Source organism: Homo sapiens, chromosome 4 (assembly GCF_000001405.40).
Source record: "Homo sapiens chromosome 4, GRCh38.p14 Primary Assembly".
NCBI lineage: Eukaryota > Metazoa > Chordata > Mammalia > Primates > Hominidae > Homo > Homo sapiens.
This window is the reverse complement of record NC_000004.12, coordinates 323,440-349,073: the sequence shown is the minus strand read 5'-3', so window position 1 is coordinate 349,073 and position 25,634 is coordinate 323,440. Positions and strand designations below refer to the sequence as shown.

The 25,634-nt window shown below is 43.6% G+C and overlaps 1 protein-coding gene across 8 annotated transcripts in view, besides 5 other annotated features; it reads right to left on the bottom strand.

The window, feature by feature from the left end:
• Positions 1-11,260, bottom strand: part of ZNF141 (zinc finger protein 141) — a 47,055-nt gene extending 35,795 nt beyond the window's left edge. For 4 of the 8 annotated variants that reach the window (NM_003441.4, NM_001348278.2, NM_001348280.2 and 1 more), the window contains exons 1-3: positions 11,088-11,260; positions 5,166-5,292; positions 4,644-4,739 (exon numbers count right to left, since the gene is read on the bottom strand). In NM_003441.4, the coding sequence (NP_003432.1) occupies positions 4,644-4,739; positions 5,166-5,292; positions 11,088-11,090 (226 nt within the window). In that variant the 5' untranslated portion in view covers positions 11,091-11,260. The other 4 variants (XM_047416147.1, XM_017008591.3, XM_011513562.4 and 1 more) reach the window with 4 other exon arrangements.
• Positions 10,555-11,515: an enhancer, noted in NCBI's record as "NANOG-H3K27ac-H3K4me1 hESC enhancer chr4:331348-332308 (GRCh37/hg19 assembly coordinates)". NCBI's record gives its function as "activates a minimal SCP1, AML or CMV promoter by ChIP-STARR-seq in primed H9 embryonic stem cells {active_cell/tissue: H9 hESC(primed)}" and the evidence as "EXISTENCE:reporter gene assay evidence [ECO:0000049][PMID:30033119]".
• Positions 11,411-11,510: an enhancer, noted in NCBI's record as "active region_21126". NCBI's record gives its function as "activates an Ori minimal core promoter by ATAC-STARR-seq in GM12878 lymphoblastoid cells {active_cell/tissue: GM12878}" and the evidence as "EXISTENCE:reporter gene assay evidence [ECO:0000049][PMID:35858748]".
• Positions 11,621-12,136: an enhancer, noted in NCBI's record as "H3K27ac hESC enhancer chr4:330727-331242 (GRCh37/hg19 assembly coordinates)". NCBI's record gives its function as "activates a minimal SCP1, AML or CMV promoter by ChIP-STARR-seq in naive and primed H9 embryonic stem cells {active_cell/tissue: H9 hESC(naive and primed)}" and the evidence as "EXISTENCE:reporter gene assay evidence [ECO:0000049][PMID:30033119]".
• Positions 12,151-12,260: a silencer, noted in NCBI's record as "silent region_15097". NCBI's record gives its function as "represses an Ori minimal core promoter by ATAC-STARR-seq in GM12878 lymphoblastoid cells {active_cell/tissue: GM12878}" and the evidence as "EXISTENCE:reporter gene assay evidence [ECO:0000049][PMID:35858748]".
• Positions 12,491-12,550: a silencer, noted in NCBI's record as "silent region_15096". NCBI's record gives its function as "represses an Ori minimal core promoter by ATAC-STARR-seq in GM12878 lymphoblastoid cells {active_cell/tissue: GM12878}" and the evidence as "EXISTENCE:reporter gene assay evidence [ECO:0000049][PMID:35858748]".

The window sequence follows — 25,634 nt, the reverse complement described above, 5'->3', positions numbered from 1 at the left end:
GTATAAAAATAAGAAAGTTAATCAAAATAAATTTAACCAAATGACATAAAAAACATATAGTATTATACACTAAATACAATAAGATATCAATGACAGAAAGTGAAGTAGAAACAAATAAATGGAAACATATTCCATTAGGATAACTAATATTGTCAAAGAATATTATCCAAAGTGATCTATAGATTCAATGTGATCCCTATCAAAATTTTATTGGCATTTTTCACACTAATAGAAAACACAATTGTAAAATTTAGGTGTAACCTTAAACGACTTTTAATAACCTGAGCAATCAATCTTGAGAAAGAACAAAGCTGGGGGCATCATACTTGTTTTTTTTTTTTTTTTGAGATGGAGTCCAGCTCTGTCACCCAGGCTGGAGTGCAGTGGCACAATCTAGGTTCAGTGATCTAGGCTCACTGAAACCTCTGCCTCTTGGGTTCAAGTGATTCTCCTGCCTCAGCTTCCCGAGTAGCTGGGATTACAAGCGCCCACTACCACCCCTAGCTAGTTTTTGTATATTTTTAGTAGAGACAGGGTTTCACCATATTGGCCAGGCTAGTCTTGAACTCCTGATCTCAAGTGATCCGCCCACCTCGGCCTCCCAAGGTGCTGGGATTACAGGTGTGAGCCACCTTGTCTGGCAGGCATCATGCTTTCTAATTTCAGACTTCAAAACAAAGACTGAAATTAAGACATGAAATCTTAAAACTCATGAAGAAAACATATGGAAAAACCTTGTTGATATTGGTCTCGGCAATAACTTTTTTTGAAATGACATCAACAGCACAGCAACAAAATAAAATATAAACAAGTGAGACTGCATCAAAGTAAACAGCCTCTGCACATCAAAGGAAAAAATAAAAACAAAATTTTTAAAAACCCTACAAAATAGAAAAGCATTTGCAAGCCATATCTGATAAGTTAATATCCAGCTGGGTGTGGTGGCTCAGGCCTGTAATCTCAGCACTTTGGGAGGCCGAGGCAGGCAGATCATGAGATCAGGAGATCGAGACCATCTTGGCTAACACAGTGAAACCTCGTCTCTACTAAAAATACAAAAAATTAGCTGGGCATGGTGGCACGTGCCTGTAATCCCAGCTACTCGGGAGGCTGAGGCAGGAGAATCGCTTGAACCCGAGAGACAGAGGTTGCAGTGAGCAAAGATCGTGCCACTGCACTTCAGCTCGGGCGACAGAAATTCTGTCTCCAAAAAAAAAAAAAAGTTAATATCCAAAATGTGTAACAAACTTCTGCAATTCAAAGCAAAAAAGCAAAACAATAATAATGAATAACCCATTCGAAAATAGGCAAAAGGTTAGATTTTTTTTTTTTCCCAAAGAAGAAATACATACAAGGGAAATCTTGTATGCTGGTGGTGAGATGCAAATTGATAAACTTACAAAAATACAGTAAAGAATAAAACTAGGCTGGGCGCGGCCGGGCTCCTTGGCTCACGCCTGTAATCCCAGCACTTTGGGAGGCCGAGGCAGGCGGATCATGAGATCAGGAGACCAAGACCATCCTGGCTAACACAGCGAAACCCTGTCTCTACTAAAAATACAAAAAATTAGCTGGGTGTGGTGGAAGGCGCCTGTAGTCCCAGCTACTCGGGAGGCTGAGGCAGGAGAATGGCGTGAACCCAGGAGGCGGAGCTTGCAGTGAGCCGAGATCCTGCCACTGTACTCCAGCCTGGGCGACAGAGAGAGACTCAGTCTCAAAAAAAAAAAAAAAAAACTTGGCCGGGCGTGGTGTCTCACTCCTGTAATCCCAGCACTTTGGGAGGCTGAGACGGGTGGATCACCTGAGGTCGGGAGTTCGAGACTAGCCTGACCAACGTGGAGAAACTCCGTCTCTATTAAAAATACAAAATTAGCCAGGCATGGTGGTACATGCCTGTAATTCCAGCTACTTCGGAGGCTGAGGCAGGAGAATTGCTTGAACCCAGGACCCAGAGGCTGTGGTGAGCCAACAGCGTGCCACTGCACTCCAGCCTGGGCAACAAGAGTGAAACTCCATCTCAAAAAAAAAAAAAAAGAATAAAACTAGAAGTATCATATAATCCAGCAATACCACTTCTGGGCATACTACCAAAGGAAATAAAATTAGTACCTCAAAGAACTATCTTCCCCTCCATGTTTATTGTAGTACCGTTTACAGTAGCCAATATATGGGGGGGGCGGTGTGTGTGTGTGTGTATACATATATATACATACATGTATATACATATATATATACACACACATACACAGGACACTATTCAACCATAAAAGAGAAGGAAATCTAGCCATTTACAACATGGATAGACCTGGAGGGCATTATGCTAAATGAAATAAGCCAAACACGGAAAGACAAAGAAACTAAATTTTCTCAGTTAGATAGGAAATCTAAAAGCGTAAACTCATAGAAGCAGAGAGCAGAATGGTAGTTGTTAGTGCCTAGGGTGGGAATATGAGATGTTGTTCAAGAGCACAAATTTTTAGTTATAAGTTGAGTAAATCTGAGAAACCTAATGTATATTAGCATTAGATTACCAAAATAGCATTGTATTCATAGTTAATACTATAATGTATGCTTTAAATTTGCTACAACAGTAGGCCTTAAGTGTTCTTACTACCAAACAAAATGGTTATCTAGGTGAAGTAATAGATTTCTTCATGAACTTGACTATATTGTTTCACAATGTAGATGCATATCAAATCATTACATTGTACACATTAAATATAAAGTTACATAATTTTTATTTATCAGAAAAATCCATGTCACACAAACACAGATGTACAGTAAGTCCTCACTTAATGTTCAAATTAGGTTCTTAAAAACTGCATTGTTAAATGAAATAATGTTGCTATATGCCATTCAAACATAACTCGTTATCTTTTAAACTCTGGTTATCAATTAAACTCTGGTAAAATTAGTTTTCTTAATATGTTGCTTCCCTCAGTTTCCAAGAACCTATCAACAATGTTAAGTGAGAATTTACTACACACTTAAATAAGTTATATAGGTGTGTGTGTGAGACACACATTTTTATATAGCTACAGAGAGATACATCTCAATGACAGAATCTCAACAGACTTCCTACTAAGACAAAATTATAATAGCTATTAACAAATAAGAGAACAATTGAGAGCTTAATATACACTTAGTAATGTTCTATGCTGGTTAATGACATAGCACATTTATGCTTGTTAATGATACAGTGCATTTAAGAAATATAGAAGGTGAGTAGATACTTTAATCCAGTGGTTTCCAACCCTTTGAATGCAAGGACTTTTTTTGCTTATCTTCTGTGGTGGAGGATATCACAAAAATTTTTCAAAAACTTTTTTTTTTTTTTTTTTTTTGGAGACAGAGTTTCACTCTTGTTGCCCAGGCTGGAGTGCAATGGCAAAATCTCGGCAAACCGCAACCTCCGTCTCCTGGGTTCAAGCAATTCTCCTGCCTCAGCCTCCCAAGTAGATGGGATTACAGGAATGCACCACCACGCCCAGCTAATTTTGTATTTTTAGTAGAGACAGGGTTTCTCCATGTTAGTCAGGCTAGTCTTGTACTCCCGATCTCAGATGATCCGAGCTCATCAGCTATCATTAGTGTTAGTGTATTTTATGTGTGGCCCAAGACAATTCTTCTTCCAATGTGGCCCAGGGAAGCCAAAATGTTGGAAATCCATGCTTTAAACTATATTATAATTTCAAAATTTGCACATATAGAGTTTACATTACAAACGAGTTTATACTAAAACAGTAATTTTGAAGTAAAATAACATTACTTTTTTTCATATTTAGGAAATGCTTATTGTTCTGATAAAATTGCTAAGTAAGAATTTTTGTAGAATTACATTTGCAGCCTCCATAGGATTAAAAAACACTAAGTAGAAAAGAGGCAACATCTGTCCTTGGTGTTCCTGGGATTTCTGAACCAAATCCCACTATGTCCACTACTCACGTTACACATTTTAGACATAATACGAAAAGAATACTTGAAAAAAATACTTTGACATACAGCTCCTCAGTAACACAAATATTCCAGTGTCTCCAAAAGCAATGGAACAGCAGTCACATCATGCAGCCCCTTATAAGCGATAAAGTGGACATTAGCTCTCCCTGTAAACTTAAAGGGAGATCACTAAAGAAAAAAGAGAATTCTTGGATTTAACAGCATGGAACAGAAGATGCCCCTATTTGTGAACATGAGAAAAAATGCAGCTTTTTCAGAAATTATTTTCACTGGAGCAGAGCTTCCCAAACTACCTGGTTTATTTTTTATTTTATTTTATTTTTTGAGACGGAGTCTAACTCTGTCACCAGGCTGGAGTGCAGTGGTGTGATCTTGGCTCACTGCAACCTCCGCCTCCTGGGTTCAAGTGATTCTCCTGCTTCAGCCTCCCGAGTAGCTGGGACTCCAGGTGCGCACCACCATGCCCAGCTAATTTTTGTATTTTTAGTAGAGACGGGGTTTCACCATGTTGGCCAGGATGATCTCGATCTCTTGACCTCGTGATCCGCCTGCCTCGGCCTCCCAAAGTCCTTGGATTACAGGCATGAGCCACTGCACCCGGCCCCAAACCACATTTTAAGGCCTGGCTTCCTTCTTGACCTTTGGTCCCCTTGCCTGTGCCCTCTCCTCCATTCACTCTCACCTACCTGGGGGTCTGGCTACGATCTTATGTATCTTCACATTGTAGGGCTCTTTTCTTTGCTCCAGACAGGTGACCAGGTCTGGGTTAGAGATAGCAACACCTGTTTTATTTTAAAAAAAATAATAACATGACTATTGATGGGGATTCTCCAATTACCAACCTAGTACTACGCTAAGCAGAATAGAGATATTATGGAAGATTCTAGAAAATTAATCCAAAAATTGTTTCCTGACAGAATCTTTAGAATATTTAAGTATTTTAAATCTGCGGGTTCTAAGTTCCACTACCAAGTACTACCGAATAAAAAATAAGTGGTGCAAATTGGATTTTAAGATGTGGGAAACAATATTTTATGTCATTGAATTTCTAGAATTACCACTAACCTAGAGTGAAGGACTCAAATTAGCTCAAGAAAAGAGAAGGTTTATGTAAAGATAAAACATAAAAGTTCCCAGGAGAAATTCTTCAAAGGAATAAAATAAAGCTCTGAGAAAAATTAGGAATTATGTATTGAAGTTATCCTCACCCAGGGAGACCAGGTTCCTGTAGTTCTCCAACATCACATCTCTATACAAATTCTGCTGGTCAGGGTCCAGGCATTTCCACTCTTCTGGAGAGAATTCTATGGCCACATCCCTGAATGTTAAGAGTTCCTGAAAATACAAATATATCAAGGGACATAGTTCTTTTTTTTTTTTTTTTTTTTTTTTGAGACGGAGTCTCGCTCTGTCACCCAGGCTGGAGTGCAGCGGCGCAGTCTCGGCTCACTGCAAGCTCCGCCTCCCAGGTTCACACCATTCTCCTGCCTCAGCCTCCCAAGTAGCTGGGACTACATGTGCCCGCCACCACGCCCAGCTGATTTTTTGTATTTTTAGTAGAGACGGGGTTTCACCATATTAGCCAGGATGGTCTTGATCTCCTGACCTTGTGATCCGCCCTCCTCGGCCTCCCACAGTGCTGGGATTACAGGCGTGAGCCACTGCGCCCAGCCGAAGGGACATAGTTCTTAATTTGACTACAGGTGAAATGAGTTGAGAGCGCTAGTTCTGACATGTGACTGACTGGGATTATCTGATAAAATAACTTTCAACGCAGTAATATTCTCTAAAGTATTCTATAGCTCTGCAGAAAAAGGATGGCATTCCAAGAGTTTCTGTTGCTGCAATAAAAATAATGGGCTACACTGACCTTCCCCTACCAAAATCAAGCAGAGTAGGCCCTGTGACCTCCTGGAACAAAGGGTGAACTCACCTTTCACTAAAGTATCTGGAAGCCCTCATGCTTCACCCTGGCCTTGCTGTAGAATCATGCAAGGAACTGATTTTAAAACATAAGGACTTTTTTAATCATGCAAGGAACTTTTTAAATACTTTTTTAATCATGCAAGGAACTTTTTTAATACTTTTTTAATCATGCAAGGAACTTTTTTAATACTTTTTTAACCACGCAAGGAACTGATTTTAAAAAATAAGGTCTCAGCCTTGGATCAGGAGATAATTGAAGTAGATCCTGACACTAAGGAAATGCTGAAGCTTTTGGACTTCGGCAGTCTGTTCAACCTTCAGGTCACTCAGCCTACAGTTGGGATGAATTTCAAAATGCCTCGGGGACCTGTTTGAATTTTTTCTGTAGTGCTGTATTATTTTCAATAAATCTGGGACAACAACAATCAAAAATAAAATAAATAAGGACTTTTCACCCAGAACAATGGACAGGATCTGTGGGCAGAACACAGCTGATGGTTTCTCTTCAAACTGTCCATGTGATCCTACTGGAAGACTGGGCTGAGAGTCACTTAGCTAAGCACTGCCTCTCAAGCTTCATTGTACATATACATTATTTGATATTGTAGGCCTCACTGTAAGTAACAAAATTCTGCAGGTTTGAAAAGGGTCCATGAATTAGCTTTTTACAGCAAGTCTCCTGTTAATGCTGACGCTCCTCCCTCTAGACCCATTATAGTACCACTCAGTTAGAGAAAGCAGACACAGCACACAGAGTCCCTTACCCCAACACCGTTATCACAACACAAATACTTTTCATCCCAAGACCACCAATCATCATCTTCAAACATGGCATTCTCTGCAGACCCTATAAGGTTACAGAAGTTGGAGACGGTGGCAATGTCTGAGTAAGTCTGTATCTGAAAAACAACATGTGCATCTGCATTAATGCCATCTTTATGGGGCATGTAATATGTGCTCAGATGTATGTCACAGAGCACTGTGATGGGAAGCTCATATTATGTGTGTTAATTCTCATAACATCCTGGGAGGTAGACACTAGGTGTCCCATACTTCCCAGATTTAAAGGCAGGGCCCAGAATTTCCATTTCCTTTCTGTTTCCCCTGACTTTTTAAAAAAATGTATAGAATAATAGCTAAATATAAATAGATGGGAGAGAGCCAAAGAAAGTGTTAAGTACAATTCAGAGGAATTTTTTTATTTTTGTGTTTGTATTTACTTTGAGACTTGTAAGAAAAAGCCACTGAAACTGCAGGGATAGAGAACAGGTTGCTGGGTGGGATGTCTCTAGAAACATTAGTTTTAATTTTATAGAAAAGATTTAAGGCCCCAAAGTATATAGCTTTTCCCTATTTATTGGCTTTTGGGTTTCAGAAAATTGTGGGCACCAGCTCTGGAGAGGAGACTGGAGTAGCCACCCTAAACTCTGATCTCCTCTATTAATCAGTTCTGTGAGAGATTTCAGTGTTGGCTCAGACCTGGACAAGGATCAGAAGAGGGTAGATCTGGGCAGGGATGGGACAGAAAGTGGGCCCTAGGCTTCTGCTCTCTATGTCACTAAGTACTTTCGGTTTTGTCTTTTCTAAGCCTGCCCAAGAGAAATTTGATTCCCAGAATTTGTGAAATTTTAATCTATTTTAGCCACTTCTCTGTCTTTTGTATAACATACAGTAACAAGGAATTTAACCAAAACCCTTATGTTTCTCTAGAACAATTATATTAGAAGCTAAATATTTATTCTTAGCAAGGTAAACACAATACAAATAATAACAACTTCTCTTCTGTCAATGAATAGCCATTCACATAATGGCATCAAAACTCACAAAACAGGCTGGGCACGGTGGCTCACGCCTGTAATCTCAGCACTTTGGGAGGCTGAGGCGGGTGGATCACAAGGTCAGGAGTTCAAGACCAGCCTGGCCAATATGGTGAAACCCCATCTCTACTACAAAATATAAAAAATCCGCCGGGCATGGTGGCGTGCGCCTGTAATCCCAGCTACTCGGAGGCAGGAGAATTGCTTGAACCTGGGAGGCGGAGGTTGCAGTGAGCCGAGATCGCACCACTGCACCCCAGCCTGGCGACAGAGCGAGATTCTGTCTCAAAAAAAAAAAAAAGAAAAATGTTTTTTTGACCTAAAAGGAAAAAGGTGGGGTAAACATAATATAAGAAGAGAGTTTATTTGGGCCAAAGCTTGAAGATTGCAACCCTGGACTATAAAGCTGCCCTGAATATACACTCCAATTAGAAGCAGTTACAAGTATATTTTTAAAGGCAAAAAGAAAGGCAGACGGAACTGATAGAAAGCTGTCAGAAATTCTTATTGGTTTATAGAAGTAACATTGGTTAGTGATTGGCTATGTACGTTGTTAAGCTATAAGGTGTGGGTTATAGTGTCCAGTATGGCATTATTAGGTTAATTTATATCCACTTGTGGCAATAGCAAACAACTTCAAAAGACAAACAGTTCAAAGAGGGGAACGGTAGGACTGTGGTCTCATTTTAACACATCACTTGGTCTCGTAATTAAAAGAACTTGTATTTCTCAAACAAAAGTTCTGTTCTTCTCTCAAATCCCAGGACATAAACTCAGAATTTGGAACTGCACATTTAAGACTTGGAGGGCTGGTAAGCACATTTGTGGGCATTTGGGCAAGGGGAGAAGGGAGAGAATGGAAGTTCTCAGGTTTAATCAATGCACATGTGTGAACCTCGCTGGATTTATGGGCCCCATGATTTCTGAATCAGTGTCAGATCTGAAGATCATTGGCACACTGAAAGAGGTGGAAAAACTGATCGCTATCCTAAAAAGTCATTTTTGTAGAAATCTAGTCAAACTGCTATAGAAGGGATTGTAGATCCCAAATAGAGAGATCATTTTGTTTGCAGCTTTGGGGAGCACTTTGCTGCACTTCGTGCACTTTGCTGCACAACTGTGGGTTGTGACTGGAATCCTGAGAAAGAAGGTTCTTCTCTAAAACGAAGCCTGGTGGGCACTTTGTGTATAACATCTAGTAATTCTTGACAGCGTGTGGAAAATATAACAGCAAAATCATCTACAATCCTAAAATACTGTCCAAAATAATAGAACAGCAAGAAAATGTGTTGTTAGAGAATTAAACAAAATGTGGTGTGCATTACAGGCAGTCTACTAAGAGACTGCCAAAACAAAGAAAGTCACCATAATTAGCTCTCAAGTAGAAGACTTGACAGTACCATGTATCATACATAGTTTATTACACTTTCACCTAGTAATTTGGGAGGTCATCCGGGTTTCCTAATTGGTAATATTCAAAGGGAAAATAAACTTCCCACAGCTTCAGGACAGGAGGTAGATTTGATATGTGAAGGCAGGTACCTGCTGAAGGCAGCCTCCTACTCTGCTACAGAAATTGCGGAATAGGTTATATATTCTTGCTATGCACATTTCAAAGCAATAGTTTCCATGTCCTAAAGACAATTTTGAGTCAAAAAAGACAAATCACCTAGTTAACAGATTAAAATGAGTTATATATATTTCAAAGAAGCAGAGAAAATATTTAAATATAAAAGTTTTCAAACTAAATGCTTTAAGGGAGAAGAGTAAAAATTCTTTCCTCATTCTAAAGAGAAAGCATTAAGCCTCTTCTGATTTGTATTTGGTCCTACAACAGGCAGGTCTAAAGGCATGGTCTTGAACTCACTAACGTTGAATTCTTGTAGCACATGAGGGATGCACTTGAGCAAACTGTGTGCACAGGAAAGAGGATTTGTGGGGAAGAAAAGAGCAGAAGAAAGGTGCTATCAAGAGCCTTGAGTGGGGGCAAGGCAGGATTGACGAAAGGACTGGTTTGTGCTACAAGTTCAGGCCCAGGCAGGGCTAAGCTCTAACTGATTCCTGAGCCCATAAAGGCAGAGGAGATTAGGATCAGGTGGTCCAAAAGCCTGGGTGGGTGAAGAAAACAGATTCCTGCTACAGATCTGGGGTTAAAATGAACCAGGAGTCTTCTGGGCACTGTGTGTGTTCTTGGGAGAAAAACCTAGGAGCAAAGCTGCCATGGGCACAATTCCTGAGGGTAGAACCCTGTCCTGGGACAAGTGTGGCCGTGCGAATGCCCAATGGGCGGGCTCAGGAGTGGGTTAGCATTGGGTGGGGGCTGGCAGCAGGGTGCAGGGAAGGGATGTTTCTCAGAACTCCTTTCCTCCAAGTTCTCAGCGCCCTCTCTCCCCGGGAGGAGACCTGGAGGAACAGAACAGTGCGCAGCAGGACAGTGCATGTGCAGAACCCGGCTGGTCTCCCGCGGACACCTGCGACTCCCTCCAGCCCAGGCTCAGCCATGTCTTTCTTCTGACAGGAAACGTGAGGAGTTTGCTCAACACCAGTCAATGCTCCGACCCCAACGGGCTGTCCAACAACTCACTAACGACACCACCCGGAGTCAGCACAGACCCCACAAGCTCAGCGCTCTTCCCGCAGCTGCCCCCCTGCAGACGCCAGTCCCTGCCTCTGGACACCCGTCTTCATTTCTGAACACCTGTCTACAAACCAGGGGCCCACACCCTCCTCAAGTTCAATAATATGACAGAACTACTCACAGAACTCAGCGAAGCGCTGTGCGCGCCCACACTAGCGTATTCTAAAAGATGCCACTCAGGAACAGCCACGCGGAGGAGGCGCACAGGGCAAGGAGACTGGTGGGCAAGTTGGAGCGGGCGGGTGATTTGCTTCGCTTCCTCACACACCTCACAAAAGCTTTTCCTTCAAGACCCGCTGGCAGCCCCCAAACCACGAGCCACGGCCGGCGCTGTCCCATTAATGAGTCCCCATTTGCTCACATGAACTCTGTTTTGATGGGGCCTCGATCTCATTCCGAACAGGGTAAAGCAGGGACGGGATCCCCAGACCACAGCTTCTCCCACAGCTCCTCCCACGCCGGCATCGCGCACGCCGCGCGGGCGGCTTCCAGATAAGCTACTCCTCACCCCACAGCCTGGGGAAGGTGCGGGGCTGCGGGCGCAGAGCTGCACAAGGAGGGCTGCAGGCTGGGCCAGAGCCGCTGTGCGGGGACCGACAGGAGCCCAGGTCCCTCACCGGAGGGTACTGAGGCCCCAGGGCTGAGCGGCGGCAGCGGGGACTCCGTTCGCAGACTCGGTCCCGCCGCCATTTCCCGCCAGCTCCGATGAGACCTCCTCAGCCTTGGGACGCCCTGCCCCGCACACTCACCATTTCCCCACTTCTGAAGTATTCGGGAGTCTTAGCTACCAATCATCCAATACCCGCAGGTCACAGAGCGACGGAGGCTGAGCTGTGGCCGAATCACCAAGGCCTCCCACAACTGAGAACGCAGAGAGATGAAGCCCCTAACCCGCGGTCTGGTAGTAGCCAGACGCAAAGACCCGCGCCACATCCCGGAAGCCACCGCCTCCTCTCTGGCTGCGTGCCTGATTGGGCAGTTTTCACTCCAGTGCGCTGATTGGATACGGCTCCAATCTCCCCGCCATCAGACCTTGAGTGACAGAAGTTGCAACCACATACTCCACGGAATGTGGCGAGAGTGACAGCCGGGGGGCCTCCAGGCAGTTTCAGGCGGGGCTTTCTCTTCGTGCTTGGCCTGGCACAGCCCAGGGGTCATTTTTTAACCTTGTGATGTGTAAGGTGACGTCCATTTAGAAATTATACACGCACGCACACACACAGACATATACGCGCGCGCGCACACACAGACGCGCGCACGTACGCAGTCTCACATAAACATACAAAAGTCACAGACACACACACACACACACGCACGCACCCACGCACGCACAGCCCATCCTTCCTCCAAGGCTCGCGAATCATCTCTCCACAAATCCTGCCTTCGGGGCCGCAGCCTGCAGGCCGACCTCAGTCCGTCCTCACAGAGCCTAGTTGGGTGCACAGCTCTCCCTGACGCGCGAGGAGCAGGTTCACGGGAGTCGGTCGCGCATCCCCAGCGCCCTGCGGGCCTCGCACCGGCTGTGGCGGTGACCCCGGTGAGGAGGGCTTTGGTGCGGGTCACCGTTGCTGAGGACACCCTCCTCCCCCGGAAGCGCGGTCCTGGGGGTCTGGGGGGCGGGTCCCTGACCGCTGTAAACAATAGGTCGGTGGTGTCCACGCAGCAGGCAGCAAATTCTCAGGAAGTGAGCGTCCCGTCTTTGGCTTCACCTTCGTGTCTGTAGAATGGGGGTGAGGGGACTCAGGACTCGGAGCGCTGTCGGGCGGGGCGAGGTGGGCTGAGAGTGTGTCTCCCTCCCCAAGCTCACCCGGAGCTGTGCGGGGCGGGACCGCCCCAGGACCCTCGGTTCCCAGGAGCTCCTGGGGGCCCCGCCGCCCCCACCCCAGGCCGCGCTGCGCAGCCCCAGTCCCCGCCGGCCCCACCGCGCGGTCGCTTTGAGGTCGGCCGGGGTCTGCCCGGCGATGGCGACGCTGCAGCCGCTGGAGCCGGGGCCACCGGGGATCTCGGCGGGACCTGGCGGCAGCGAGGACGCGGACCCTGGAGAGATGGGAGGGGCGCGCCCCGAGCCCGAGCCCCACCCGGACCCGGCTGCCGTCGGCCTAGCCAGGGCCGGGGCGGACACCGTCGAGGACGAAGCCGGGCCCGCGCCCCTGGGCGACCCGTTGAGCCGCGGAGCCCCGCGGGGTGGAGCCGGGCCAGGCCCATCCGCTCCGGGCGCGGGCAGCTGGCGTCGCGGGTGGGTCAGAACCCAGGACACGCCCAGGAGTCCGACCTCATGGCGCTGCAGGGCCTGGGGAGTGGGGGCTGGGGACAGCGCCAGGGCCAACCCGACGCCAGCACCCCCGGCAGACCCCAGGAGCCGCCTGTGAAGAGACTGGATAGGTGCATTAAGCGATCAGAAAAGTCACTGGCTGGCCCTGTTGATGAGCAGAACGCTTTCAGAGAAGTGTATGCTCACGCAGTGCTTGGACAGCATTCGCGTAGTTTGACACTTGTCTGCTTGGGCGGATAGATGCTCACACACATAAGTTTGTTTTGTAGTTATGCAGGATTGCACTGTGGCTAAGTACACAGACTCTGGGTGCACATCCCAGCTGCTCTGCTATTTCCAGCTGTGTGACCATGGGGAAGTTACTTGCCTGTGCTCAGTGTCCTCTGTAAAGTGAAGATAGCAGTACCTGCCTCATGGAGTCCCTTAAGTGAGTTAATAGTGTAACATGTTATGGCGTCATGCACACAGTCACCATCGGTAAATATAGTCTATTATGCCTGAACCCCAGAGGAGCACATGTCCTTGAAAAGTCTAAAATTCAGGACTCTAAAATCCAGACTGTGAGACCCTGGAATCCTCCAGCAGCATTCTAACGTCTCTTGGCAATTGTATGCTGCTTCCCAGGGCTGGAAGGTGTATTTGTATTAATACAGTGAAATAATACGGCCACTTGACCACCTAGTTCATCCCTATAGTAGGCAAATAAGGTGATGTCAAATCCTTGGCTGGGGCCCAGTCCTGGTAATCTTCCCTTCTCTCTTTCCTGCATACTCTCTCATTCAGATTCATACATGCCCTGCAGGACTGCTTAGCCTGCAGAGAAGGCAGGATGGTGAGGAGAGAAGGTGAGTGGGTGGGTGGGTGCAATTGTTCACTGAAGTGTGCTGCCTCTTGCCATCTGAACTTGTGGGCCCAGGCACTGGGTCTGGACCTGAGGGGGTCTTGTTCTCCCTTTAACTTTAAGCCTCAATTGGCAGCAATCGCAGAGCTTCGTCCCTCCCTGTGAGCCTGTCTGGGTGTTTATGCTGGATGACATGCACCCCCTCTGCCAGGAGTGCATAGTCTATGGCCTGGCCAGGCAGCCATTGCAGATGAGAAGAGTTTCAACGTCGACTTTATTGTGCTGCTGGGTTTTTTCTGCTGGCTCTTAGCACGTTTCTCATGAGCCATGATTAGCCTCAGGTCTATGGCACCTTCCGCAGCTATGTCATGGTGACTGGGGACATCATCTGAAGCATGTGCCACTGCTACCCCAAGGCAGGTGTTGGTGAGGCTGTGTGGGGATAGGAGGGTTGGAGACCATGTCTCTATCTCATGCATCAACTCTTCATCCTTCAATCATCTCCTCATTCTTATTTTGACTCTGTGTTTACTTCTTTCTGCCCTCCTGAGCATTCATCCATCTATGCATCATTTCATCCACCCTTTCAACCACCCATCCATTCATCTATTCGTCCATCACTTAGCAGAAGGATTGATCAGAAGCCCCCAGGATCTGGAGCCATGAAACAGACACCATGGAGGAGACACAGTGAAACACAACATATTACTTATGTGCTTAAACTAAAAGTCAGTGAGTGGTTTCCACCTGCCAGGCACTCCTGCATTTAGAGTGCAGTTCTGCCCTTATCCTGATCTTTTTGGAGCCTTCTGTAGTTCCATTTTATATCAGAAAAAGCTGAGGCTCAGCAAATGAGGTTCTATAACTGACTGGCCGAGTTTGGATTGGAGCTCAGATGTGTGAATGTAGGCATCATTCTTTTTCTTGAGTTTTCCACCCCAGGGCCCCAGAGCGGCTTAGCTTTCTGGGGTGGGTCAGGTCTAATCTTGGTGGAATGCATTGAGCAATTCTCTATCTTTTGGAGTCTTAATGTATTCTTAGCCCTAGGAGTGGTTTAGTGATGGGAAAGCACTGGTTTGAGAGTCCTGTGTTCTAATGCCAGTTGTGACCCAAACTTTGTGTGTGATGTTTGTCTTTCCGAGCCTCAGCTTTTTCATCTGCAAAATGGGACTTTAGCCTCTATTTTGCACAGCCAAACAGCATATAAAGATCAGAGAAGAGATGGGATATACAAATATTTTGTCAACTCTAGAATGTTGTTTGTAGTTGAAAGGCTGCCGGGTACTGATAACCTTGAGAAAAGAACATGTCAGCTCCCAAGTCAAGTCTCTTACTCTTTCATTTTTATTTTTAACTTTAGACACAAAAATGTTTCTTTTTTCTTGAACTACACACTTAAGAAGCTCCTATTGATAACCAAATTAATGTTTTTCTTTTGAAAATAATTTACCCTTTTTTGTTGAAGGTATTGTAAGAATCCATTTCCAGCTTTAAGGACAATTTCTCTCAGTTCCATTTATATTTATTTCTCTGGTTTTAGCTCTATACATTTGTGGAAATTTTACTTCCATTTTTGTGAATAATCTTTTGTTTGTTTGTTTGTTTGTTTGAGAGGGAGTCTTGCTCTGTTGCCCAGACTGGAGTGCAATGGTGTGATCTTGGCTCACTGCAGCTTCTGCCTCCCAGGTTCAAGTGATTCTCCTGCCTCAGCCTCTCAAGTAGCTGGGATTACAGGCACACACCACCACGCCCGCCTAATTTTTGTATGTTTAGTGGAGATTGGGTTTCACCATTTTGGTCAGATTGGTTTCGAACTCATGACCTCAGGTGATCTGCCTGCCTTGGCCTTCCGAAGTGCTGGAATTACAGGTGTGAGCCACTGTGCCCGGCCTAATAATTATATTTCAATTAAAATCTAATTTTTAAAGGTACCAGTTTTTAATTCAATAAATATTTAACATATTCACTTTAAACTCTTAGGTGTTAAGTCTAAAAATGTTTAATGGCTTAAAATATTGTCTTACATATTGTATGAATGAAATACTAATGACTGTGATGGTCAGATTATCTTTTGTTCATAGCTTTCTTTAAATACAATATAATTATTTTTTATTTGTTCTTATTAAAATTCATTTTGTCTTACTTAAATGTTGATAAATATAGAAGGGAGGCTTCGTTTGCCAGCTTTATACATTCGAAAGTCAAATTGCAATGTTATTAACTTCTAACTACTCAGTTAACTACTCAGTAACTAATTTGTCTCCCACAGTAAACATAAGTATTAACTAACACAATTATAGTCATATTCTCCATCTTAATAATGGAGTAAAATTTGTGTTATTTATTGATTAAGTTACAGCCCAGGCTGGAGTGCAGTGGCATGATCTTGGCTCACTGCAACCTCCTCCTCCCTGGTTCAAGCAATTCTCCTGCCTCAGCCTCCTGAGTAGCTGGGATTACAGGCACCCGCCACCACGCCCAACTAACTTTTGTATTTTTAGTAGAGACGGGGTTTCACCATATTGGCCAGGATGGTACTGATCTCCTGATATGGTGATCCTCCAGCCTCAGCCTCCCAAAGTGCTAGGATTATAGGCGTGAGCCACTGCGCCCAGCCTATTTTATATTTTTATTTCATATTATTTCATGTCAAGTATCTAGGATATAAACTTTTGTAAACTAGTATAAAATTAAAAAATGTCTTTTGCTTGAGCTCAGGAGTTCAAGACCCGCCTGGGCTACATGGCAAGACCCCATCTCTACCAAAACTACAAAAGTCAGTCATATGTGGTGGTGCATGCCTGTGGTCCCTGCTACTCAGGAGGCTGAGGCAGGAGGATCCCTTGAACCCATGAGGCAGAGGTTGGAGTGAGCCAAGATCATCACACTGCACTGCAGACTGGTTGACAGAGCAAGACGGTGTCTCAAAAAATAAAAAAATAAATGTCCAGATGGGCATGGTGGTTCACGCCTGTAATCCCAGCACTTTGGGAGGCCAAAGCGGGCACATCACCTGAGGTCAGGAGCTTGAGACCAGCCTGGCCAACATGGCGATACCCCGTCTCTACTAAAAATACAAAAATTAGCTGGGTGTGGTGGTGGGCACTTGTAATCCCAGCTACTTGGGAGGCTGAGGCAGGAGAATCACTTGAACCTATGAGGCAGAGGTTGCAGTGAGCCGAAATCGCGCCAATGCACTCCAGTCTGGGCGATAAGAGCAAGACACTGTCTAAAAAAAAAACAAAAAAAACTCTTGATAGGCAAAGATTATGATAGTAATGCTATAGTTATAATGTTATGGTAATCAAAGAATATAGTACTACCATAGGAATTGATTTGTGTAGATTAAAAGAATAAAGTTGAAGGTATTAATTTGAGGTAAAAATAATTCTGTCAAAGATGCCAAGAAATTCCAATGGAGGAAGTTTGTTCAACAAATAATGCTGAGAAATCAGTTTTCATTGTGCAAAAATGAAGAATATACATCCATATATATTAAATGAGAGTAAGTGAATACCCATATAACAATAGAAAGTATTAATTAAATTATTTTTACATATAAAAGCTCAGTGTCAAATTGCATTAATTCTGAATTTCACTGACATTTAATAAAAATGTAATATAATTTTTTCACATAAACTTTCATCAATGGCAGAGGTAACATTTTTCTATTAATTTACTAGCTAGGGGTACTGTGATACCAAAGCCAGACAAAAGAATCACAAGTAAAGAAGACTATGGACTAAAATTCCATATAAATATAGAATTCCTGATGAAGTTATTAGAAATGTTAGCACACGGCTGGGCATGGTGGCTCATGACTGTAATCCAGCACTTTGGGAGGCTGAGGCAGGCGGATCATGAGGTCAAGAGATCAAGGCCATCCTGGCCAACATGGTGGAACCTTGTCTCTACTAAAAATACAAAAATTAGCTGGGCGTGGTGGCGCGCACCTGTAGTCCCAGCTACTTGGAAGGCTGAGGCAGGAGAATCGCATGAACCCAGGAGGCAGAAGTTGCAGTGAGCCGAGATTGTGCCACTGCACTCCAGTCTGGGTGACAGAGCAAGACTCCATCTCAAAAAAAAAAAAAAAAGAAATGTTGGCACACTAAATCCAGCAACATGTAAAACTGATTACATACCATAACCAAGCAATAGTTTGTCACAAATGGAGTGTTGGCTTAATATTTTTAAAATCAACCAAAATATTACAAAATGTTACTTGAACAATAGAAAAAAGTGTCAATGTAAATAAGCAAAAAAAGTATAAAAAATCCAGCACCCGTTCATGATAAAACACTCAGAAATCTAGTAGAAAGGAACTTGTAAGACCTGCTAAAAAGCATCTATAAGAAATCAATAGCTGGCTGGGCACGGTGGCTCACATCTGTAATCCCAGCACTTTGGGAGGCAGAGGTGGGCAGATCAGGAGGTCAGGAGTTTGAGACCAGCCTGACCAACATGGTGAAACCCCATCTCTACTAAAAATACAAAAATTAGCCAGGCGTGGTGGTGTGTGCCTGTAATCCCAGCTACTCAGGAGGCTGAGGCAGGAGAATCGCTTGAACCCGGGAGGCAGAGGTTGCAGTGAGCCGAGATTGAGCCACTGCACTCCAGCCTAGGCAACAGAGTAAGACTCTGTCTCAAAAAAAAAAAAAAAAAAAGAAATCAATAGCTAATAGTATACTTAACGGTAGATGATTGCAGGCTGTATCTGTAAGTTTAAAAATGGAACAAGAATGTACACTTTTTCCACTCTGTTTTTACACTGTCCTGGAAGTATTAGCCAGAAAAGTATACTAGAAAAATAAATAAAATCTTCAGATTAGAAAAGAAGTAGGATACTATTATCTTGCCATAATATTGGGTTAAAAACTATGATAAATTTACCAAAAACATACTTCAGTTAATAAAAAATTTTATTAATGTCACAAAATACAAGATTAATAGACAAGGTTAAATCTTTTATATAACAGCAATCAACATACTGAAAATTAAGAACAAAATGTAATAATAATATCATAAAAACCATTTAGGTATGTGGGCAGCAAGCCACCCAGGTGCCGAGGCAAGAAACTGAGGGCACGAGCTGTTCCAGTGTAATAAAATATATAAAACAACAAGAGTTATACTAGATATAGATCATAGATATGATTATATATGAATATCAATCATTAGTTTGTAGCAATTACTCTTTATTCCAACATTATAATAATCCTTGCTCTATAATTATAACCTAGGAAAAACCAGGCCATACAGAGATAGGAGCTGAAGGGGGCACGGTGAGAAGTGACCAGAAAACAAGAGTGCGAGCCTTCTGTCATGCCCAGACAGGGCCACTAGAGGGCTTCTTGGTCTAGCGGTAACGCCAGCGTCTGGGAAGATGCCCATTACCAAGCAGACCATGGTCTAGCTGTAGCATCAGTGCCAAGGAAAAGCACCCGCTACTTAGCAGACCGGGAAAGGGACTCTCCCTTTTCCCAGGGGAGTTTAGAGAAGACTCTGTTCCACCACCTCTTGTGGAGGGCCTGACATCAGTTAGGCCTGCTCGCAGTTATCTGGAGGCCTAACCGTCTCCCTGTGATGCTGTGCTTCAGCGGTCACGCTCCTGTTTCACTTTCATGTTCCACTCTGTACACCTGGCTCTGCCCTCTAGACAGCAGTAGCAAAATTAGTGAAAGTATTAAAGTCTTTGATCTTTCTGAAAAGAGCGTAAAAGAAATAATGACGTAAGCTGTCCTCTCTCTCTCCGCTTCGGCTACCTAACAGGGAAGGGCCCCCTGTCCAGTGGACACGTGACCCACGTGACCTTACCAATCACCGGAGATGACTCGCACTCTTTACCTTGCCCCTTTTGCTTTGTATCCAATAAATAACAGGGCAGCCAGGCATTCGGGGCCACTACCGGTCTCTGCGTCTTGGTGGTAGTGGTCCCCCGGGCCCAGCTGTCTTTTCTTTCATCTCTTTGTCTCGTATCTTTATTTCTACGATCTCTCATCTCCGCACACGGAGAGAAAAACCCACAGACTCTGTGGGGCTGGTCCCTACATAGGTATATATATATATATATATGTATGTATGTATGTATGTATGTATGTATGTATGTATGTATTCGAGACAGAGTTTCACTCTTGTTGCCCAGGCTGGAGTGCGATTCATGATCTTGGCTCACTGCAACCTCCACCTCCCAGGTTCAAGCGATTCTCCTGCGTCAGCCTCTCAAGTAGCTGGGATTACAGGCATGCACCACCATGCCTGGCTAATTTTTTGTATTTTTATTATAGACGGGGTTTCACCATGTTGGCCAGGCTGGTCTCAAACTCCTGACCTCAAGTGATCTGCCTGCCTCAGCCTCCCAAAGTGCTGGGATTACAGGCATGAGCCACTGTGCCCAGCCTGTTATTTCTGTCTCTTCTGGCTTGTAGGGTTTCCAGTGAGAAGTCTTGCGGGGGTCCGACCCGCTGACCCTGACTCAATGACGGATGAACAATGTATACTGATGCAGATATTCTGCTTTGCCAGTGCAACTGAGGGTCCAGGCTGCCTCACAGACTAACAGAGGTGCTGTAGGGAGTAGCAGCCGCCACACCAACCAGCCAGCGAAACTTGCATTTATTTGGTAAAGATTAAGTAACAAAACTTTGAGTAAACACCACTAGAAGGTAATTGACATTGCCGACTTCGCGAGTAGAAAGCAATTAAGCACCCAAGATCAAAGGTTAGTCTGAGGACCACATGAGTAAACAAGGTAGTTAGATAAACTACTCTACATCCGTTTGTATTTGTGCCCTAAGTTAATAACTTAAGGTAAAGTGACCAGGCCGCCTTCAGCCAGATCTATTACCGAAGTTTTGCAAAACCCTCAGGCCTTCCAAGAGGGTTTATGGCTATTATAACTAAAACTTTTTTCACCAGTCTGTCTGAACCCCCACAAGGTCTGCTGTTAGTCTGATGAGCTTTTCTTTGTAGGTGGCCTTGCCTTACTCTCTATCTGCCCTTAAGATATTTTTATTTCATTTTGACCTTGGAGAATCTGATGATTACCTGTCTTGGGAGTAATCTTCTCATGGAATATCTTAGTGGGGCTCTCTGCATTTCCTGCATTTGAATGTTGGCCTGTCTAGCTAGGTTGAGGAAGTTCTCCTGGATGATATCCTGAAATATGTTCTCCAATTTGGTTCAGTTCTCCCCATTTCTTTCAGCTACCCCCATCAGTTGTATATTCACTCTCTACACAATCCCATATTCTAAGGTTTCATTCATTCCTTTTTTTTTTTCTTTATTTGTGTCTGCCTGTTTGATTTCAGGAAGACAGTCTTCAAGCTCTGGGATGTTTTTTCCTCCGCTTGGTCTATTCTGCTATTAATACTTGTGATTACATCGTGGAGGCCTTGTAGTGTGTTTTTCAGCTCTATCAAGTCGTTTGTGTTTCTCTTCTTACTGGCTATTTTGGCTGCCAGCTCCTGCATTGTTTTATCGTGATTCTTAGCTTCGTTGCATTGAGTTACAGTGTGCCCTTTTAGCTCAGCCAAGTTCATCTGTATTCATATTCTGAAGCCTACTTCTCTCATTTCAGCCATCTCAGCCTCAGCCTGGTTCTGATCCTTTGCTGGACAGGTGTTGCTGTCAGTTGGAGAAAAGGGCACACTCTGACTTTTGAGTTTTCATCATTTTTGTGCCACTTCTCATCTTTGTGGGCTTATCTATTTCAATGTGTGAGATTGCTGACCTTTGGATAGGGTTATTGTGGTTATTTTTTGTTATTTATTGTTTTTCTTTTAACAGTCTGACCACTGTGTGTAGGGCTGCTGTGGTTTTCTGGAGGTCTGCTCCAGACCCTGGTGCCCTTGGCTTTTTCAGTATCTGGAAGTATCACCAGTTAAGGCTGTGAAACAGCAAAGATGGCAGCCTGCCCCTTTGTCAGGTCAGAATGCATACTGACCTGTTGCCTGCCTGAACACACCTGTAGAAGGTGGCTGAAGGCTTTGGATTGGAGGTCTCACCCAACCAGGAGGAATGGGGTCAGCAGCCTACTTAAAGAAGCAGTCTGGCTGTGTTTTGGTAGAGCATCTGTGCTGTGTTGTGGATTCCTTCAGCTCTCAAATGGTTTGGGCTATCCAAAGCCCACAGTCTGCACTAACTTACCTGCCCAAACAGCAAAAATGGTGGCCCACCGCACCCCCTGGGCACTCCATCCCACGGAGAAATTAGAACTCTATTGGCCTTAGAACTTGGGCAGAAGTAGATGGAGGCCCTGGCTGGGAGGACCCGCCCAGCAAGGGGGAATGAATTGGGGTCCCACTTAAAGAAGCAGTAGGACTATGCTTCAACAAAACAGCCATGGCATGCTGGGGAACCACCTCTGCCCAAATCTGCTTGGACTCTCCAAACCCTCAGGCTTAAATGGCTTAGTCCCCCAAACAGCCAAGGTGGCAGGGCGCCCCTCCACCATGGGCATTCCATCCCAGAGAGAAATCAGAACTCTGTTCATAGAATATGGGTGGGGCAGCTGGAGGCCCCTGCTGGGAGAACTCACACAGTGAGGGAAATGGATTGGGGTCCCATTTAAAGAAGAAGTCTGGCAACATTTTGGTAAAGCAGCTGTGCTGTGCTGTGGGGTCCCTGCCTCATTCAGATCATTTGGACTCTCCAAAGCCCACAGGCTGCAATGACTTTGTCATCCGAACAGCAAATATGGCAGCCCATCCCTCACCCAGAAGCTCTGACCCATCTCAGGCAGGTGCTACACTGTTACCAGTAACTAGCTGGAATTCCAAATCTGTGGGTCTTATCTTGTGAAGTGCCATGGAAGTGGGATCCACAAACTGATGCTGCTCAGCCTCCTGGATTCAGCCCCCTTCCTAGGGGTATGCACCAATCTCCCACCTTGCCTGAGTTGCAGTCATCTTTGTTGGATGTCCCAGGGCTGAGGTATGTAAAGCTCCTGGGACTCTGTTTGTGTCTGAGCAGCTGTTCTACCAAGACTCCACACAGCTCTGTGTGTCAGACCCAAGACCCTGGTGGAGTGGGTTCACAACTGAATCGCCTGATGCAAGGGTTGCAAAGATCTTTGAGAGAAGTGTGGTTTCCTGGGGTTGCACATTCACTCACCATTTTTCTTGGCTGGGGTGGGGGTTCCTTTGGCTCTGTATCAATCCTGGGTGGGACCTCAAAATCAATTCTTATGGTAATGCCATATTGTTTGGTTAGTATAACATTTTAGTAAGAATATCAGAAATAAATTTCATTTTTGTTTTCAAAATTCTCATGTGTTTGATTTTTTTGCATGTCTGTATAGAATTTAGAAAGAGCAGCTTGTCAATTTCTATGAAAATAGCCAGGTGCAGTGGCTCACACCAGTAATCCCAACACTTTGGGAGGCCGAGGCGGGTGGATCACCTGAGGTCGGGAGTTCGAGACCAGCCTGACCAACATGGAGAAACCCCATCTCTACTAAAAATACAAAATTAGCCAGGCATGGTTAATTACAGGCATGCATGTAATCCCAGCTACTTGGGAGGCTGAGGCAGGAGAATTGCTTGAACCCGGGAGGCAGAGGTTGCGGTGAGCCGAGATTGCACCATTGCACTACAGCCTGGGCAACAGGAGCGAAACTGCATCTCAAAAAAAAAAAAAAAAGAAAGAAAGAAAATAATTTACTTTGAAATTTGCATTGAATCTGTAGATAGATTTGCTGGGTATTTTGATCTTAATATTTCTCATTGATAACCTTGAATATTAGATGTATCTTTACTTATAGAGTTTTAAAATTTTCTTTCAGCATTTTAAATAATTTTCAATGTAAAGCATGTGTACTTGCTTTTAATATATTCCTAAATGGTTTTTATGACATTATTTTTTTCATAATTTGATTTTCAGTCTGTTGATTATGTTATATAAAAGTATTATTTAACCTTGTTTATTAATCTTGTATTTTGTGACATTAATAAAATTGTTTATTAACTCAAGTACATTTTTGGTAAATTTATTATAGTTTTTTATATAACATTGTGGCAAGAAAATAGTATTCTAATTCTTTTCTAATCTGAGGGTTTTATTTATTTATCCAGTATAGTTTTCTGGCTAATACTTCCAGTACAATGTTAAACAGAGTGGAAAAAGTGTACATTCTTGTTCCATTTTTAAACTTACAGATACAGCCTGCAATCATCTACCATTAAGTATACTATTAGCTACTGATTTCTTTCTTTCTTTTTTTTTTGTGACACAGAGTCTTGCTCTGTCGCCCAAGCTGGAGTGCAGTGGTGCAATCTTGGCTCACCGCAACCTCCGCCTCCCGGGTTCGCGCCATTCTCCTGCCTCAGCCTCCTGAATAGCTGGGACTACAGGCGCCCGCCACCATGCCTGGCTAATTTTTTGTATTTTTAGTAGAGATGGGGTTTCACCGTGTTAGCCAGGATGGTCTTGATCTCCTGACCTGGTGATCCGCCCACTTTGGCCTCCCAAAGTGCTGGGATTACAGGCATGAGCCACCATGCCCGGCCAGGTATTGATTTCTTATAGATGCTTTTTAGCAGGTCTTAACAAGTTCCTTTCTAGTAGATTTCTGAGTGTTTTATAATGAATGGGTGCTGGATCTGTCATACTTTTTGTGTCTATTTAAATTATCACCTTTTTCTATTCTTCAGGTAACATTTTGTAATATGTTGGTTGATTTTTAAAATATTAAGCCAACACTGCATTTATGACAAACTATTACGTGGTCATGGTATGCAATCAGTTTTACATGTTGCTGGATTTAGTTTGCTAACATTTCTAATAATTTCATCAGGAATTCTATATTTATATGGAATTTTGGTTCATAGTGTTCTTTATGTGTGATTATTTTGTCTGTTTTTTTGTTTTTTTTTTTTTTTGACAGAGTCTCACTCTGTCGCCCAGGCTGGAGTGCAGTGACACAATCTTGGGTCACTGCAACCTCTGACTTCCTAGTTCAAGCAATTCTCCTCCCAAGTAGTGGGGATGACAGGCACGCGCCAAAATGCCCGGTTAATTTTTTATATTTTTGGTAAAGACGGGTTTCACCGTGTTAGCCAGGATGGTCTTGATCTTCTGACCTTGTGATCTGCCCACCTTGGCCCTCCCAAAGTGCAGGGATTACAGGCGTGAGCCACCGCGCCCAGCCACGGTTTTGGTACCACAGTACCCCTGGCTAATAGATTAATAGAAAAATGTTATCTCTGCTATTGCTGAAAGTTTTTGTGAAAAAATTATACTATGTATTATTAAATATTGGTGAAATTTAGAATTTATGCAATTTGACACTGAGCTTTTCTATGTGAAAATAATTTAATTAATACTTTCTTTTTACTTGTTATATGGCTATTCATTTACTCTATTCTATTTAACATATATGTATGTATATCCATTATATTTGCATGTTGAAAACTGATTTCTCAGCATTATGTTTTGAACAATTTCTCCTATTGGAATTTCCTAGCATGACTGACAAAATTATGTTTACCTAAAATTAATGTGTTTATTAATATACCTTCAATTTTATTCTTTTAATTTACATAATTCTATTCCTATGGTGGTACTACATTATTTGATTACTATGACATTGTAACTATAACATTACTATCATAATTTTTGCCTATTAAGACATTTATGTATGTATGTATTTTTTTTTTTGAGACAAAGCTTCGCTGTGTCACCCAGGTTGGAGTGCAGTGGCATGATCTTGGCTCACTGCAACCTCTGCCTCCTTGGTTCAAGGGACCCTCCTGCCTCAGCCTCCCAGGTAGCTGGGATCACAGGCATACACCATCATTCCTGGCTGTCTGTTGTAATTTTAGTAGAGATGGGGTCTTTCCATGTAGCCCAGACTGGTCTTGAACTCCTGAGCTCAAGCAAAAGACATTTATTTTTAGTTCATAGTATTTTATAAAAATTTATATCTTAGGTACTTCACATGAAATAACATGAGATAAAAATATGAGGCTATAACCCAGTCAATGAATAACACAAATTTTACTGCATTATTAAGATGGAGAATATGACTATAATTGTGTTAGTTAATACTTACGTTTACTGTGGGAGACAAATGAATTACTGAATAAGAAGGAAGTTAATAAAATTGCAATTTGACTTTGGAATGTATAAAGCAGGAGAACAAAGCCTCCCTTCTATATTTATCAATATTTAAGTAAGACAGAAAAT